The 17,620-nt window shown below is 42.3% G+C and overlaps 2 protein-coding genes across 53 annotated transcripts in view, besides 4 other annotated features; one reads left to right on the forward strand and one right to left on the reverse strand.

Moving 5' to 3' along the window:
• The window catches only part of PSME3IP1 (proteasome activator subunit 3 interacting protein 1), a 33,651-nt gene extending 22,942 nt beyond the window's left edge, over positions 1-10,709 (reverse strand). For 4 of the 40 annotated variants that reach the window (NM_001354088.2, NM_001354092.2, NM_001354096.2 and 1 more), the window contains exons 1-2: positions 10,414-10,632; positions 3,095-3,445 (exon numbers count right to left, since the gene is read on the reverse strand). Coding sequence is in view for 8 of the 40 variants with exons in the window: in NM_001354098.2 (NP_001341027.1) it covers positions 6,147-6,209 (63 nt within the window). In the remaining 32 variants the exon portion in view is untranslated. Of the gene's footprint in view, positions 1-131; positions 1,747-3,094; positions 3,446-6,146; positions 7,144-8,039 lie in introns of those variants that run through there. The other 36 variants (NM_001354099.2, NM_001354102.2, NM_001354103.2 and 33 more) reach the window with 22 other exon arrangements.
• Positions 3,213-3,794: an enhancer, noted in NCBI's record as "NANOG hESC enhancer chr16:57212532-57213113 (GRCh37/hg19 assembly coordinates)". NCBI's record gives its function as "activates a minimal SCP1, AML or CMV promoter by ChIP-STARR-seq in naive H9 embryonic stem cells {active_cell/tissue: H9 hESC(naive)}" and the evidence as "EXISTENCE:reporter gene assay evidence [ECO:0000049][PMID:30033119]".
• Positions 10,257-10,306: an enhancer, noted in NCBI's record as "active region_10884". NCBI's record gives its function as "activates an Ori minimal core promoter by ATAC-STARR-seq in GM12878 lymphoblastoid cells {active_cell/tissue: GM12878}" and the evidence as "EXISTENCE:reporter gene assay evidence [ECO:0000049][PMID:35858748]".
• Positions 10,745-17,620, forward strand: part of RSPRY1 (ring finger and SPRY domain containing 1) — a 54,318-nt gene continuing 47,442 nt past the window's right edge. For 3 of the 13 annotated variants that reach the window (XM_047434854.1, XM_024450482.2, NM_001305163.2), the window contains exon 1: positions 10,922-11,643. The gene's annotated coding sequence lies outside the window, so the exon portion shown is untranslated. Of the gene's footprint in view, positions 10,829-10,921; positions 11,644-17,620 lie in introns of those variants that run through there. The other 10 variants (XM_011523428.3, XM_005256220.3, NM_001305182.2 and 7 more) reach the window with 4 other exon arrangements.
• Positions 11,007-11,216: a silencer, noted in NCBI's record as "silent region_7524". NCBI's record gives its function as "represses an Ori minimal core promoter by ATAC-STARR-seq in GM12878 lymphoblastoid cells {active_cell/tissue: GM12878}" and the evidence as "EXISTENCE:reporter gene assay evidence [ECO:0000049][PMID:35858748]".
• Positions 11,618-12,262: an enhancer, noted in NCBI's record as "NANOG-H3K27ac hESC enhancer chr16:57220937-57221581 (GRCh37/hg19 assembly coordinates)". NCBI's record gives its function as "activates a minimal SCP1, AML or CMV promoter by ChIP-STARR-seq in naive H9 embryonic stem cells {active_cell/tissue: H9 hESC(naive)}" and the evidence as "EXISTENCE:reporter gene assay evidence [ECO:0000049][PMID:30033119]".

Consider the following 17,620-nt stretch of genomic DNA (forward strand, 5'->3'; position numbering starts at 1 on the left):
ACAGCACTATGTGCTAACAAGGAGGCACATATTCAATCCAATGTCCATTCCAAGATAACCACTAACAACAAAAACAGTAAGTTTCCACGCTACCACAAAAATAAAGCAGCTAACAGTTAATGAGCTCTTACCATGTATTATATTCCTTTTATGGATATTATCTAATTTACATGATCATTGACCCTATGAGAAATATTATCTGTTTACAGATGAAGTTGAGGTCCAGAGGAGTTAGATTATTTGTCTAAGGTGATACAGGTGGTGAATGGTAGAGCTGAGAACCAAATCCAGGCCTGATATCAAAAATGCATACTCTTACCAACTTTACCATACTCCTCCCCAGAAAACACTAAATCTTAGTTGAAAACAAAGACATGTCGACTTCAGCTTTCTTCCTACTTCAAATTCCAGTGCTGAGAATATTCATGCAACATTTTTATTTAGTAAAGCTAGAAATGGAAGCTGAAAAAACAAACCCAAACGTTCAGAACAAGAGAATAGTCTCAGCCTGAATACTACTGTTGCTGAGGTTTAGTTTAATGTAACAATAAGAGCGAATTGTGAAAATTACTAGAAAGAAATGAAATCAACTGACAGACGCTGTTGCTCCCACCTAAAGCCCACAACCTGGACACTTCTGATTTAGCAGCACTCAATGACTCCAGCCAGAGGCTCATTACTGAAGCAGAACTGTTCAGTCTCTGTGAAAATGCCAAAAATTCCTCAAGTTCTACAGAACAACCTCTTATGAAACCAGAGCCAACAATTTCTTAAATGTCTCTGGCAGAGAAAACGTGAACTTTCTAGGGCTCTAATGGTTGGGAGAGACATTCCGAACCCTCAATTTCCCCCTTTCTTATCCCCTATTAACCGTGTCTCCTTTCTCATCCTGTATTAATCATCTGGTTTCTTTCCATCACCCATTTTTCCTAGTAAATAATTCAGGGTGGGATAGTCCTTATAGCCCACCTAATATGATAATCCACTCGACATCTGAATTTACCATACACACCCAGGAGAAGGTCATCCAACTCATATATTAAAACTTCAAGAGGGACCACTGCATTCCCTTCCTAGGCAGCCAACTCCCTCTCTAAGCAGATTTGACTGTTAGGATAGTTCTTCCTTAAACTGAACTGAAATCTGTTTTACTATAAATTCAATACATAGGTTCAATCCACTGGGACTATACAAAAAGAATCAAATCTTTTCTAACATGACCATACTTCAGTTGTTTGAAGACAATTCCCATGTTCCTCCTAATTTGTTGCTTTTCTGAGCCAAACATTCCTAGTTACTTTAATTTTATAAGATGGAGAAAAATAATCATGTCTGAAGGAAATGAATTTATCAGATTAGATATGATTTAAACCTGGGAAATAAATACTAGGATACGGCAATGCCATTGGTGTCCCAGTAAATGTCTCTCTTCATTCTTGTTATATATATATAATTTTTTTTTTTTAAGACAGAGTCTCGCTCTGCCGCCCAGGCCGGAGTGCAGTGGCACGATCTTGGCTCACTGCAACCTCCGCTTCCCAGATTCAAGCGATTCTCCTGCCTCAGCCTCCTGAGTAGCTGGGATTACAGGTGTGTGCTACCATGCCCGGCTAATTTTTGTATTTTTAGTAAAGATGGGCTTTCATTATGTTGGCCAGGCTGGTCTCGAACTCCTGACCTCAGGTGATCCACCGGCCTTGGCCTCCCAAAGTGTTGGGATTACAGGTGTGAGCCACTGCACCCGGCCTATATTTTTAAAAGAGAAAATTTAAAAATCTTCCAATATGCCAAAAACAACAACAACAACAATAAAAACAAACCCTAGAATTTTACATTTCTACCTAAATAAGAATTCAGAGAGCCTCCTGGGCTCAAGCAGTTCTCATGCCTCAGCCTCCCGAATAGCTGGGACTACAGGCATGCACCACTACACCTGGCTAATTTTTTTTTTTTTTTTTTTCGTGAAACAGGGTTTCACCATGTTGCCCAGGCTGGTCTCAAACTCCTGGACTCAAGCAATACAATCTGCCCACCTCAGCCTGCCAAAGTGCTGGGGTTATAGGCATGAGCCACTGTGCCCGGCCTACAATCTTTTATACACAGGGACAAAACCAGAAATCAGTTGGTTAATGAAAATAAGAAATAAAGTAAATGCATATTTAAAAAAAAAATTTAAAGGCAAGCGTTGCAGGGGAAAGAAAAATACAAGAAATGTATTTCTCATCAGCTCTCAGTGGGTTGGTGTCCTGAAAACACAGTCACACTGTCAAAACTAATGCACACTTACAAAAGTCTGCTCTTTAAAACTAATATCTTAATTCAGGCTGGGCATGGTGGCTCATGCCTATAATCCCAACACTTTGGGAGGCCAAGGCAGGAGGACCAGCCTGGGCAACAAAGTGAGACCCCCCATCTCTACAAAAAATTTAAAAAACTAGCCAGGCATGGTGATGTGTGCCTGTAGTCCCAGCTACTCACAGGCTGAGGTGGGAGGATCATTTACTCCAGGAGGCTAAGGCTGCAGTGACCCATGATCGCACCACTGCGCTCTAGCCTGGGCAACAGAGTGAGACCCTGTCTCAATAAATAAATTAATTAATTAGTAATAAAACTAATATCATAATTCTGGCATTCCCTTGATCCCCAAATAAAGAAAATAAGCCAAGTTAGATGGACACACATAGTAATAAATTTCTGTAAGTTTAAAAAGACTAGACTAAAACATAGACTGCTTTATGCATCTTTTTTCAAATTAGCATTTTCTTCTGTAGGTCTTCATTCTCTGCATGGCTTTGCTCAGGCTGTTCCCTCTGCCAGGAATGCCCTTGCTTTCTTTTCACCCGATGCAAACTGCTGCTCCAACCGCCCAGAATCAGACTAAAGACCATCTCCTTTATGAAGCTTTCCAAGACCTCCTAGAGTAGTTAATATGTATTTCCTTCCTTTGTGTTCCTGCTATGATCATTCATAACTCTACTACAGCCCTTATTCTTTGTGTTTTATCATCTGTGACTGTTCCAACAGCTCTTTGTCTCCACAGTGCTTATTATTATTAGCACAGTGTCTGGCATATATTAGGTATTCAAATACTTACTGAATAAACCAACCACGAGGAGCTGAAGAATCTGAGCAGGGAGGAATGAACTCACATGAATATTCCTAGGTACTGTGCAATGTAAGTTATAGAGATTGGTAGCCATCAAGCAAGTATTTGCTGAAGTGTCAGTATCATGGGAATTCTATTCAAACGCCATACAATTTGTGCAGTAAGAAACAAAGGACTAAAAATTAAATCTCTTTACTATATTATATAATTGATGTCATCTTTCAAAAATAACTGCTACTTTCCGTTAATTTCAACTGATTAAAAATGGTCACTTATCCTGCGAAAGCAGTACTTGATGGAGACAGCGTTTTTGTTTGAAGAGTCCAATGGCTGTTTATTCTGCAAGAAAGAGGTGATAAGTACCTGTAACTTACTGACCTGCTGGAAGTAGACAAAGAAGCTAGAAAATTAGATTGTGTTGACTTCTAATTCCTATTGTCTAGGTAAATTTTCACAAGTCTCTTCTTTTTCCCTTTTGTTTGCTAGGGTAATTAAAAACAAATCAAAAGACAAACAGCCCAGGGATATCAGGGATACGGGCTCTAACTGTGAAGAGCCCTGTAGGAATGCAGAGGACTTACATTAGGAATGCTTACTTTGTCCTTACTGTGTTCCACTTTAGAAAGAGTAAACAAATGCTGTCAGCTTTCCTTTACTCACGTTTTCCAAAGTGACTCAAGTTTAATTATCAAACTAAACATTACATTATTTTTTAAAGGATTTATTCAATTTCTTCAAATAGGGAATTCATGGAAAACTAAAACCATTTCAAAATTCACTTTGTCCACCAAACTTAGAGTCCAAATTGGCACAAATAAAGAACGTGGTTTTCAAATCTGCCTGACCGTCAAGAAAACAAAGTTCTTATATTTCAAGCCAAAGTAACTGGTAACACTGAACTACTGGGTTTACATTGGAGACCGTCCCATTTAATTTCCAGGGTGGTGGGACAAAATGGGCTCAGTTCTTACATAGCACACTACACATGTTTTAAAATACAAAACTTACATTGTTGCTCCCCAAATAATTGCTATTCCTAACTTGAAAAATGACTCCATTTAGCTAGTGCCATGACACAAAGTAATGAGATCTGGTTTCCTATGGAATTGAATTATGTGATGGCAAACTACTTGAGTGTTTACATCACTGGCCACCATATCCTTCTAATTCTAAAATTAATTAGATTGTACATGTTAAAACACACCAGAATCAGGTTTCTGTGTTCTGTTGTTTTAAGGCTTCACTTTCAGTAGCAAAAGCAATAGGTCAATCCATTTCCTTTTGTGAGTAAATATAGATTATTGCTTTCCAACATTTTTTACTCTGATGTTCAAGTCACACTGTACTTCAAAATGCAGGACAGCAACTAAGAGGAATTTGCCATCTGGCTAACTCATCTATATTTCAAATAAAGACTTATTTCTGGCCAGAAGGCACTTCTACCAAGATACAGTTATTTAGATTTTTAAAAATTTAGCTGACTTTTCCTATATCATAAAATTTATTTAGAGAACAACAACTACTAACAGAGAGCCCGCTGTTAGTATTTATTACTAGGCAAAGTGAAGTCAATCTTCTAACACCAAAGCTTAATTAACATATTCCGGTAGCAAAGGAGACTAAAAGAATCTAAAAACTAAACCACAGAAAAAGAAATTTAATCCATATTTTAAATGTTTATCATAAGGAGCAATTTGCAATAACCTTTCAGGCATCTATGAAACACATACAATAAAAAATTCAGCTTTGCAATAATCTTTCAGGCATCTATGAAACACATACAATAAGAAATTCAGCCAGGCATGGTGGCTCACACCTGTAATCCTAGCACTTTGGGAGGCTGAGGCAGGAGGATCGCTTGAGGTCAGGAGTTCAAGACCAGCCTGGCCAACAGGGTGAAACCCCATTTCTACTAAAAATACAAAAATTAGCTGGCTGTGGTGACATGTGCCTGTAATGCCAGCTACCTGGGAGGCTGAGGCAGGAGAATCGCTTGAACCCAGGAGGCGAAGGTTGCAGTGAACTGAGATTTCACGCCGCTGCACTCCAGCCTGGGCAATAGAGCAAGACTCCGTCTCAGAAAAAGAAAAAAAAAAAAGAAAAGAAATTAAGGCCTGGTGCACTAGCTCACACCTGCAATCTGAGCACTTTGGGAGGCCAAGGCAGGATTGTTTGAGCCCAGGAGTTCAAGACCTGCCTGGGCAAGATGGTGAGACCCCAACTCTATTAAAAACAAACAAACAAACAAACAGACAAACAGGCTAGGCACAGTGGCTCATGCCTGCAGTCCCAAAGCTGTGGGAGGCCAAGCTGGGAGCATCACTTAAGGCCAGGAATTTAAGACCAGCCTGGGCAACACAGTGAGACTCTCTCTCTACAAAAATATTTAAAAATTAGCCAGGTGTGATGGTGCACTACTTAGGAGGCTGAAGTGGGAGGAAGGCTTCAGCCAAGGAGTTCCAGGCTACAGTGAGCTATGAGGGCCATTGCACTACAGCCTGGGCAACAGCACAAGACCGACCTTGCCTGGCGAGGGGGAAAAAAAAGAAGTTAAAAAAAAAGTATTGATTTATTTATCTTTCCATAGCACAAGGGCAGGGTCTCAAATGTGCATTTATCTTGAATTCACCTATACACACTAGAAGAAAGATAACTAATTTAAATATCGGTTCCCTTAGCTGATCCTCATTCACATGCACCTCTCTGAATATAAATACTTCCCTCACTATGCATGAATGATTGTATTCATTGTATTTTTTACATATTGTGACTCCTAAATACAAACCAACAACTTCATCTGGGGCTCACAGGAAGAAAAACAGCAGTTTTTTCCAAAGCCGAAATAAAACTTGCCTGAGGATATAGAGAAAAAAAAAACCCAAACCAAACCAAAGCATTTTTGCTATTCTCTCACTCAACAATCAACACAGTATAATTCTGTGAGGGATATGTCCCCACACACCAAGCAACCAACCAATTCTGTAGCAGACACCAACCAGCTGGGTGTCCTCTAATTCAGTTCAATTCTGACACTACCTACCTGGATGGAGACCGCGTCAGATCCCATAGGTTGAGGGGTGAGTCCCACAAGACTAGCCTCCATTTTAGATACCAACCACAAGAATCAGGTTGTTTTACCTGTAGTTCTAACCAACTGGCTATTAATCAGGGTTCCCATGACCCCCTCCTTAGGTTCTATTAATTTGCTAGACCAATTCACAGAACTTAGAGGAACTTAGAGGAACACTTTACTTACATATACTGGTTTATTATAAAAGCATATTACAAAGGATACAGATGAAGCAATGCATAGGGCAAGGCATGTGGGAAGGGCACAGAGCTTCCATGCACTCTCTGGGGCACCATCATCCAGGAACCTCTCATGTCCACCTATCCAGAAGCTCCCCAATCCCAGTCTTTTGGATTTTTATGGAAGCTTCATTACTTAGACATGACTAATTAAACCAGTGACGCTGGTGGTCATCAGCTCGTCTGCCTTCTCCTCTCCCCAGAGGTTGGACATTGGTTGAAGGTCCCAACCCTCTAATCCTGCCTGGGTCTTTCAAGTGACCAGCCCCCATGCTAAAGTTACTTAGGGGCTGCCAGCCATCAGTCAGCTCCTTAGCATATAAAAAGACACTAATCATTTTGGAGATTTCAAGGATTATAGGAGTCATATGCCACAGGAGACAGGGATGAAGGCCAAATATGTATTTTACAATATCACACTGGCCATGTCAGAGTTCTGCAACACTGGTATTCCTACAATTAACATGCTGCCTCCCTGAGATTTCAAGGGTAGCTTTGCTTGTAAGCTATTTTGTCATCTAGGCTCGCTTCAGAACCTAACCCACACCTCAAGTCATACTCCATCCTCCCTCCCCCCACCCTATATAACTCCACTTCAAGACCAAATTAAAAACAAAATAAAACAAAAAAACGCAGTCCCAGTTACTCAGGAGGCTGAGACTGGAGGACTGCTTGAGCCTAGGAGTTCAAGGCCAGCCCGGGCAACATAAGGAGATACCCATTTCCCTTAAAAAAAAAAAAAAAAAAAAAAAAACTTTGCATTACAATAACCAGACAAGGCCAACTAAGATTTTTTTTTTTTTTTTTTTTGGCGCAGTGGCTCATGCCTGTAACCCTAGCACTCTGGGAGACTGAGGCAGGTGGATCACCTGAGGTCAGAAGTTCGAGACCAGCCTGACCAACATGGTGAAACTCCGTCTCTACTAAAAATATGAAAATTAGCCAGGCGTAGTAGCACATGCCTGTAATCCCAGCTACTCGGGAGGCTGAGGAAGGAGAGTTGCTTGAACCCGGGAGGCGGAGGTTGTAGTGAGCCGAGATCGCGCCACTGCACTCCAGCCTGCGCGAAGTGGGCGAGACTCCATCTCAAAGAAAAAAGATTTTTGAAGCAAATATTTACCGAGAACCTATTATGTGCAAGATACAATGCTATGTACTAAACAGGCAACTGAGGAACTTACACTCATTCAGTAAAAGACATAAGGTTGGCACACAGCAATTTAAGGAAAAGTAAAACTAGGTTACAGGCCATAAGAGGCACTAAGCAGTTCAGAAAGGAAGACTAGAATAAGCATTGGGGAAGCTTAATTTTCATAATGGCTGTGACGATGCACAGTGAAAAGTGGTGGAAATTTTAGGTATATGAAGAATAACCATCTTTAACTTGGAAATCACACAAATTTCACATTCCAAATTTCAGAATACAGGGGGATTTTCATTTCTTGAAATAGTGGGCTAGGTAATTGAAACCAATTCTCCACCTCTGCACTAAATATGCTGGAAATTTGTCAAAAATAATTTTTTTTTTGAGATAGGGTCTCGCTCTGTCACACAGACTAGAGTGCAGTGGCATGATCTCAGCTCATTGCAACCTCCACCTCCCAGGTTCAAGCGATTCTCCTACCTCTGCCTCCCGAATAGCTGGGATTGCAGGTGCCCGCCACCATGACTGGCTAATTTTTGTATTTTTAGTAGAGACAGGGTTTCACCATGTTGGCCAGGCTGGTCTCAAACTCCTGACCTCAAGTGATCTGCCCACCTCGACCTACCAAAGTGCTGGGATTACAAGTGTAAGCTACCACGCCCAGCCAAAAATATTAATTCTTAAATAGAAAAGCTAACAAGATAGTAAAGAATTTGGACACAATCTAGAAGGTGAAAACCAGAAATTAAGCCCAATATTCAAAATGGATTTCATCCTGAGGACTTCTCTGACCTAAAAGCTAAAGTTTCAGTGCCTTTATGAGATAACAGAAACAAGTTCAAGCCAGGAGCCCATCCAGGGAGTGGAGTCTGACAACTACCTCCCTCTCCATCTTAATCTTGTGCCCAAAAGAACTACAGCTTCAAAGTAAAGGTGAACTGGGAAGTAAAACAGCAGGAATAATGGACAACAGAAACAGACTCCCCCAAAGGGAATTCAGACAGTGGAATTAAACATAGAGATTATAAAAACAACTATACTTTCCATGTTTAAAGAAATAAAATTAAGCCTCAAAATAGTAAGAAATAAAAAACTGTAAAAGTGTCACAAACCAAACAGAACTTCAGAAACTAAAAATTGCAATATATGATTTAAGATTTCAGAGGCCGAGTTTAATAACAATGGAAATAACTTGAGAATAAATTATCCAGAATGTACTACGAAAGAACAGAGTAAAAGACATAGAGAAAAGAGTGAAAAGGTTTAGTTAAATCGATAAAAAAAAAAAGAGAAACAATGGGAAGAAGCAATATATGCATATAAAATGGCTGAGAATTTTACAGAATTAATGAAAGACACTAATCCACAGATTCAAGAAGTCTAATAAATACCAAACAAATTGAACAAAAACAAACCCATAGTTCCATAGAGCATAGTGGAAATACAGAAAACCAAACACAAAACAATCTTTTTTTTAAACTTGTCGATACTTGATTTTAGACAAAACAATCTTAACAACATATTCTATAGTAAAGAGTGAAACATAATATTTAAGAATGAAGACAAAGTATGTTCAAAAGGTGACTAATGGTGAACACGTTGAAAATGCTTAATTTAGCTGCCATAAAGGCATAATTACACTATGACTGACCCTGTACGTACATCGCACTTGTTACTTGATTTACCACATACGTGGTTTTCAATAGCTAAAGCAGCAGCTTGATTCTAACCAAGCATCACCATTCTTGGAAGATGAAAGTGAAGACTGATAATCAACTAAATGGTTTTGACACAATTATTCCTTTCTTATATCATGAAGCACTTCCCCACAGGGTAAGGACATGAAGACTTCAGTTGAGAAAGATAATCGGGCAGCCTCTACTTTCAGATCCTTACAAATTGTTCGCAGGTCATCTAACTAAAAGACTGTAAAAGCTGCTGTCGGCTCAATACTTTGTATCAAAAAGGAGTCTACCCACTGATTCCCTTCAAATATTTCAGAAGGGTGCCTTCCATTTTATGGTGTCCCTGTGGACACATGAATACACCAAATAACTGATGAATCGACAAATCTTATGTCACAGGTGGTAGGCAAGAGGTCATCGGGAATTCCGATCACCAGGCTCGCATCTGGCTTCTTGGGTCCCACTCCTGAACTAACCAGTCGGGCTACCCGAGCGTGCGGGAGTCTGAGAAACTGCATTTTAAAAGGGCCCCAGGAGATCTTGTTTTCCACTAACATTAAAGAACCACGACTACGAACAAACAGGTCTCCCCCTTTCCTCTGTGTGGACTGACAGTCACAAGGACCACCAACTCTCAAGCATGACGCTTCAACTCTCTTTGTTTCTTAAGTTTTCTGCAAAACGGGCCAGCTGGCTTGTTTTCCGTAATAGAAAATTCGCTTGGCACAGCAACTGGTACATGGCACACAATAAATGTGCTTCCCATCCTGCACTGCCATTCTGGGATTCAACCATTTCCAACCAGACGCCGCACATCCGAGTGAGTAACCTGGACCTGTTCCAAGACCTCTGGAACGGAGCCTGCTACTCACTTGAAACCTGGGTGGCCCTACCTAGCAGAAAATTGGGGAAACCCCATTAAACGCCCGGCAGTGTTGGGCCCGCCTGAAAGGGTCCTCGCCGCGACCCAGATGCCTTCCCGCGGGCACCCTCAGCTCCCCTCAGGCTGGGCCCGCAAGCCCCAGGCTTCGGCTACTCCGGACAAGGAGCGGGTGCGCGGACTGAGAACAGGCCTGGCCCTAACCCTAACAGCAGCCGCAGCTCATCTCTTCCGTAAGGAAGCTGGAACCCAGGTGTCGCCGCCAGGCCAGGACCGAGGCCGCACTCACCTACCGGCGCGCGGGAGGCGAGACGACCTCACCTCGGCGGCGCCCACCCCAAACCGCCACCGCAGAGCCGCTCGCTCTTAAAAAAGAAAAAAAAATGAAAGGAAGAAAGAAAGAAACAGAGGAAGGAATGAATGAAAGAAAGAAAAAAAAAAAGAAAATAGCCTTTGCTTTTGTATTTCTTTTGACCCTTCAGGGCTTCCTGTTCCTCACCGCCACAATAGAGTCCCGCCCCACTTCCGGCGACGTAACCCAATCCGCGGAGCTCTTCCTCCCCGGGAGCCCGATGGAAATCCGGTACCCTGAAAACGAGCCGGAGAGACTTGATTGGGCCATTCACGCCTCAGGATGAGGACTGGCCAGTCTGCGCCTGGAGGGCGGGCCGGTCCCGCTGATCACGTGACACGATTTTTGAAAGGTGATTGGCTGTCAAGGAGAGGGCTTGCCACCGAGGAAGGGGCGTTTCCTAGGGGACTGAGGGAGGGCTGGGGCGGTACGAAGCGGGGGTGGGCTCTGCGCGTAATGGCAGCGCCGTGGCCTCGCGTCCATCTTTGCCGTTCTCTCGGACCTGTCACAAAGGAGTCGCGCCGCCGCCGCCGCCCCCTCCCTCCGGTGGGCCCGGGAGGTAGAGAAAGTCAGTGCCACAGCCCGACCGCGCTGCTCTGAGCCCTGGGCACGCGGAACGGGAGGGAGTCTGAGGGTTGGGGACGTCTGTGAGGGAGGGGAACAGCCGCTCGAGCCTGGGGCGGGCGGACCGGACTGGGGCCGGGGTAGGCTCTGGAAAGGGCCCGGGAGAGAGGTGGCGTTGGTCAGAACCTGAGAAACAGCCGAGAGGTTTTCCACCGAGGCCCGCGCTTGAGGGATCTGAAGAGGTTCCTAGAAGAGGGTGTTCCCTCTTTCGGGGGTCCTCACCAGAAGAGGTTCTTGGGGGTCGCCCTTCTGAGGAGGCTGCGGCTAACAGGGCCCAGGTGAGAGGCAGCTATCTATCTCCTGGGGTGGCTCCTGGTACCGATGGGGTCCTGACCTACTCAGGGGTGCCCGGGATAGAAAGGGTAGATGAAGGGACGCTTTAGGAGGGTTCTTTTTGTGGAGTTTACGGTCTAGGTGGCACGGATGAGGCATACCTCCCCGGGGAGATTTAGAAACGCCTTGGGATAGAGAGAGAATGGGGCTAGGAAGCAGGAGCTAGAACTAGCGGAATGTCCTACTACGGAAGCCGGAGCTGAAAATTGGGTAAGGACCTTGGGGAGAGGGGATTTCTGGGCGGTGATGGGAAGAAGACACCTCCATCCACAGGAAAGCCAGAGTGGGGAGTAGTGAAAGGGAAACGGGAATTATTCCCTCTCTCTGTAGATCGACCAGGTGTCCCAGACACAGGATCCAACTGCTTCCGGGCTTATTGCCCGAGTGGGGTGGGGAGAGTCTATCCCACCAACACCCCTTGCGTGAGTCCAAATTAGGCATTTGTCTCTCCTGCTGCCTCACTTTCCCCGTCTTTGGGGAGGGAAACCGACTGAGACCGAGGCGGTCGGCTGAGACTCCGAGGTCCTGTCTTGTATAGTTCTCTGAGAGAGGTTGCTCCCCCTGGAGTGTTGTACTTTGAACTTTGAAGGGTTAGAAGTGTCTGTTATCGACTGAGTAGAATCCCGCAGTTTTCCAGGCCCTTTACCTACCATCTGTTCTTGCTTAGTGGAGTGACTTAACCTCCTTAAGTCTCTACTGTAAAATAACCAGCGCAGTATGTGAAAGTACAAATTACAAGCTGCGTGAACGTAAGTTAGTGTGATTCTACCACCAAACGGGTTGCTGTTGAGGAATAAAAGTGAAGGCACTTTCTAAAATGTAAAGTAGTATGTAGAGGTAAGGGGTGGGATTAATACAGTCGTTGTCTGTCACCTGCGGAGTGCTGGGAGCCATATTGTACTGAAAGCTTCAAGGTTCACAGCTTCTTAGGTCATATTAAGATCTAAACCCATGGTTTCAAACCCTGCTTAGATGGGGATGGTGGGATTTCCAGCTTTTGCTCTCAGAGTTTTCATTTACTTTGAACTTCTTATGGTGCTGGCAGGAGTTACCACTGTAATATCTTTTCCTTCAGGAATTATTTTCCCCTAACAGCTGAAATTTTCCTCTAAGTAATTTGATCTCAACATTGTAAACCTCCTCCCCCTTTTGCATATATATATGCATGGCTTTTGGATGTCTACAGGCAGTGAATATCATACTTTCTCCCTCAGTTGTGATTTGTAAAGACTGCCTTTTTTCCTCCACGAATACTATGCGTTGTTGTGGTAGCCCTAGACTATAGATTATGAGGCATGTTGGAAGTTGCTTTTAAATTTCTCTTGCACAGTGGTTCTCTTTATTTTTCCCCTTATGTGGACTTTGCATTTCCTGGGATGGTATCTTGCTTTGTAGATCCCTCTATGAGATTGTAAGAGACTTGTGTCCCTGTATGACATTTTACTAGTGTTTGGTTCGTCGTACTTGTTAGAGATGGTTTTCCAAATATCGGGCAATCATTTCCTGGGATGGTATCTTGCTTTGTAGATCCCTCTATGAGATTGTAAGAGACTTGTGTCCCTGTATGACATTTTACTAGTGTTTGGTTCGTCGTACTTGTTAGAGATGGTTTTCCAAATATCGGGCAATTTATATGGGATTTTTTCCGAAGTAATTTAGTTGTGTTTTTGGTTTTTTTGTTTGTTTGTTTTTTGAGACGGAGTTTCGTTCTTGTTGCCCAGGCTGGAGTGCAGTGGCGCTATCTCGGCTCACTGCAACCTCCGCCTCCTGGGTTCAAGCGATTCTCCTGCCTCAGCCTCCGGAGTAGCTGGGATTACAGGCATGTACCACCACGCCCAGCTAATTTTGTATTTTTAGTAGAGACGAGGTTTCTCCGTGTTGGTCAGGCTGGTGTCGAACTCCCGACGTCCTGTAATCCGCCTGCCTCGGCCTCCCAAAGTGCCGGGATTACAGGCGTGAGCCACTGTGTCTGCCTTTCGAAGTAATTTTTGTACTGCTCTGAATTTTCTGTTTTTGTGATCCTATATTCTGTGGATCTTTTTAAAAACTATAACTGGTGATTGTGAGTTATTTGATCTCCCAGGATGCATGTTGCCCTAACCTACTATTTAATGTCTTTCTATGTTATGCTTTTTTCTGTACTCAGTGACTTTTTTTTTTTTTTTTTTTTGAGACCGAGATTCCCTCTTGTTCCTCAGGCTGGAGTGCAATGGCGCGATCTCAGCTCACTGCAACCTCTGCCTCCCGGGTTCAAGCAATTCTTCTGCCTCAGCCTCCCAAGTAACTGGGATTACAGGCAAGCACCACCCGTGCCTGGCTAATTTTTGTATTTTTAGTAGAGAGGGAGTTTCACCGTGTTGGTCAGGCTGGTCTTGAACTCCTGAGCTCAAAGTGATCTGCCCACCTTGGCCTCCCAAAGTGCTGGGATTACAGGCATGAGCTACTGTGCCTGGCCCTCAGTGATTATTTTCAAGTTATTGATTATAGGAGGTATACCAGCATACTCTATGTGGGCTTCTGCTTTTGTCAGCAAAATAACTTTTCATTTAGTAAGTATCAAAGGGAAATAAAAACTTAGCATTTTGTATAATAGTGTGTTAATCTGTAGTGAATCAGGTAAAAACAACAAATCTGAGTTATGTAGCACTGTGGGGCCTGGAGGCTAAAAAAAAAAAAAGTGTGTTTTGTCAAGAGTTTAACAAACAATTATTCTGTATTTCTTTTTTTCTGTTTTTTCTTTTTCTTTTCTTTTCTTTTTTTTTTTTTTTTGAGACAGGGTCTCATGCTGTCTCTCAGGCTAGAGTGCAGTGGTGCAATCACGGCTCACAGAAGCCTCTACCTCCCAGGCTCAGGTGATCCTCCCACATCAGCCTCCCAAGTAACTGGGACTACAGGTGCGAGCCACCACACCTGGCCAATTTTTGCACTTTTTTTAAGACAGGGTTACGCCATGTTGCCCAGGCTGGTCTCAAACTCCTGGGCACAAGCCATCCACCCACCTTGGCCTCCCAAGGTGCTAGGATTACAGGTGTGAGCCACCATGCCTGGCCTCGTGAGCTTAATTTAGTCTGTTGAGAATTGTATATGCTTTCCTTAACAATGAAGTAATTTGTTCTAATGAAGTGGGAAATCCCTTTGCATCTTTTTAAATACAGCTTTCTTTCACACTCTATATAGTTTGGAGAAAATGTTAGGAATTCTTGAAGGTAGTAATCACTATTACACTACTTAAGATTGGAAGTTATGGCTGGGCATGGTGGCTCACACCTATAATCACAACACTTTGGGCGGCCAAGGCGGGAGGATCACTTGAGCCCAGGAGTTCAAGACCAGCCTGGGCAACATGGCAAAACCCCATCTCTACAAAAAAATACAAAAATTAGCCCAGCGTGGTGGCACATGCAGATAGTCCCAGCTACTTGGGAGGCTGAGGTGGTAGAATCTCTTGAGCCTGGGAGGTTGAAGATGCAGTGAGCCACTGCATTCCAGCCTGGGTGACAGAGCAACACCCTGTCTCAAATAAATAAATAGGAAATGTTCTGTATTTTTTAGTAGGATACTTGTAAAGTGGGGTGTGATAGTCTCAGGATTGCAAAATAAGTGGAAAGTCAGTAGTCACCACAAATGGGAAACACAGTGGAACCAGCAATCTATTTCAAAAGAATTATTTGGGGATAATAAACTATGGATTTAGCTTCTCTTCAAGCTTTTGGCATTTTCAAGGCAGTTATCATTGAATTTGGGTAGTTTTTTCCCTGATATTCAAATTAGAAAATTGAAAAGCAGAATAATCACGAAGTAGTAAATGCCGTAACTTGGGCAACAGCCTTTTGGAGGGGACTTTTACAACTTTTAGAAGTGCAAAGGAGTGAATATTTCCCTTTGGTTTATCATTCAGTAAGTCAGCTTTTGAAATCCTTTTCTTGCCAACCTTTGTGAGTAGAGAAAACATACAAATGTGTCCATTCCAAAAGGGAGTGGTTGCTGGTTAAATATGTAAAAGTAGTAACTTTAGATAAATGTGTGGTATATACAAGGTTAAATCAGGAAAAGTTATCTTATAAATAGTGGTGGCCTCTTAGAGAACATTCCGCTTTGTTTCTGAGCTTTTGAAAACTGAGAATACATTTGAAATAGTAAGGAATTTATGTACTCCTTAAATTTGTTAAGGAATGAACTCTGCACATAGCTTTCTTGTTGCTTGAAATTATAGTTTCCAGGCGTAATTTCATAGGTCCTATGTACCTCAAATAGAAGGTTTGAAATACCTTACTCAGCAAGTATATTACCTCATAGTTTAATGTTCAGTGTTAGTTTTTTCTTACCCCTCTACCTCCTGAAGAATTGTTTTCGCTCTTGTGTTCCCTTAATGCAGTGATTCTCAAGATGTGGTTTCTGCCCAGTCCCTCCACATGGGAAATATAGCACTGTTTGTTTGTTTTTTTAAGTTTTTATTGCTTCATAGTTGTTCATACTTAGGTATGCCTAAGGGCTACTTATTAATAACCTACCAAGTGAATTACTAAGGATTACTAAAACATGGTATTCATAACCTAAAACTAGAACAATATTGGAGTTTACTGTGGTCTCTTAATACTTTTTTCGCCCAGGAAGTCTGTCCTGGGAAACCTGGCACCAATACAAGCTTCTCACATGTCATATGCAGAATGGGGATTCCTGCAGTATTCAGGAAGTATGCTTAGTTTGGGGTGCATCATCTGAATTGTCTCAAAATAATGTCAGTTTTCATCATGATTCCTCTTTTTTTATTAGAATTTTTATTTAACTTCATCTTTATCAATTTAATTTATAGGTTTTTTTGTTTACTTTTCATTGTGTGGGCAGGAATATTTATACCAACAATATTTTGGCTTATAATGTAAGACATAAATGTGTTACAATGCAAAGATAGATTCTCTAGTCCCCTTTTGCTATTGCTGATTTGTATAGTCACCTAAAAACTTGCTCACACAGAGGTACTTCAGTGTTACCAAAGTTCCTTTTACACTGGAAAACTGATGGAACAAGAGGCCTCCTTCTAGTAGATGCTTTATCTGTAGTCTTTGGGTAGGGAGCTAAGTTTGTCCCTAACCCCAGCTCCCTTTGTCAGGAGCATGAGGGACCTTTTTCCGTCTTTCCTCACTGCCTGCCATATAAGCATTGGATATATAGTTATTGAATGGTGTTGTCTCAGTTTTTCAAAATGGTAAATATTTTGGAGAGACTTTATGTTACAGATTTTAGAATAAATTCACCTAAGATATTTATTGAATACATATTAGGGTCTAATAAGTATCCAAATGAGTATGCAGTATGAGTGTTTTAGACATCATTTAAAGTAGACATCATTAAGGAAAATGTTGATATTCATGCTGCTTATATATTTTATTTGCTTTTCTTAAGAGCAGAGAGTTTTCTGTAATAGAAAAATCCTTTTCCTTCAGATTTGTGTATATTTGAATAACACATGATCTCCTATTATTTGGCCTCCTGGGGGGAAAACCACAAGTACTACGGAATATTACATTTGTTTTTCTTCCCTGTACTGCAACCGTCATAAGCATTTACCTCAATTCTTCCTTAGTATTTTTTGGGAGTCCAAGGCAAATTTTTCAATCCTTAAGATTTCAGGCAGGGATTATTTACTTCCCCTTTTTTACTATTATTTGCTTCCGGAAATTCCTTACTCTATCCTAGGCCTAAATTTTATTTTTTAGTAAATTATTTGAATGCTGAAAGGATTTGTCTTTTCTCCTTTGTACCATTTTAGGTCAGGACTATATTCTGTAATTCTTTCTGACCACAGATGCACTGCTACTAGGTTAAAAAAGCTCTCAACTTTTTAGAGGAAGGTTTTTCCAGAGACTCTTTTTTTTTTTTTTTTTTTTAAGGTCTCACTCTGTCTCCTAGGCTGAAGTGCAGTGGTGCGATCATGGTTTACTGCAGCCTCGACCTCCCCAGCTCAGGCGATCCTCCCACCCCTCACTCCCACTGCCCTTCCCAGTAGCTGGACTATAGGGTCCAAGCCGCCACTCTGGCTAATTTGTGTATTTTTTGTAGAAACAGGGTTTCGCCATGTTGCCCAGGCTGGTCTCAAATTCTTGGGCTCAAGCTGTCTGCCTGCCTTGGCCTCCCAGAGTGTTGGGATTACAGGTGTGAGCCACCATGCCCTGCTCAGATAGTCTTT

Source organism: Homo sapiens, chromosome 16 (genome assembly GCF_000001405.40).
Source record: "Homo sapiens chromosome 16, GRCh38.p14 Primary Assembly".
Lineage (NCBI taxonomy): Eukaryota > Metazoa > Chordata > Mammalia > Primates > Hominidae > Homo > Homo sapiens.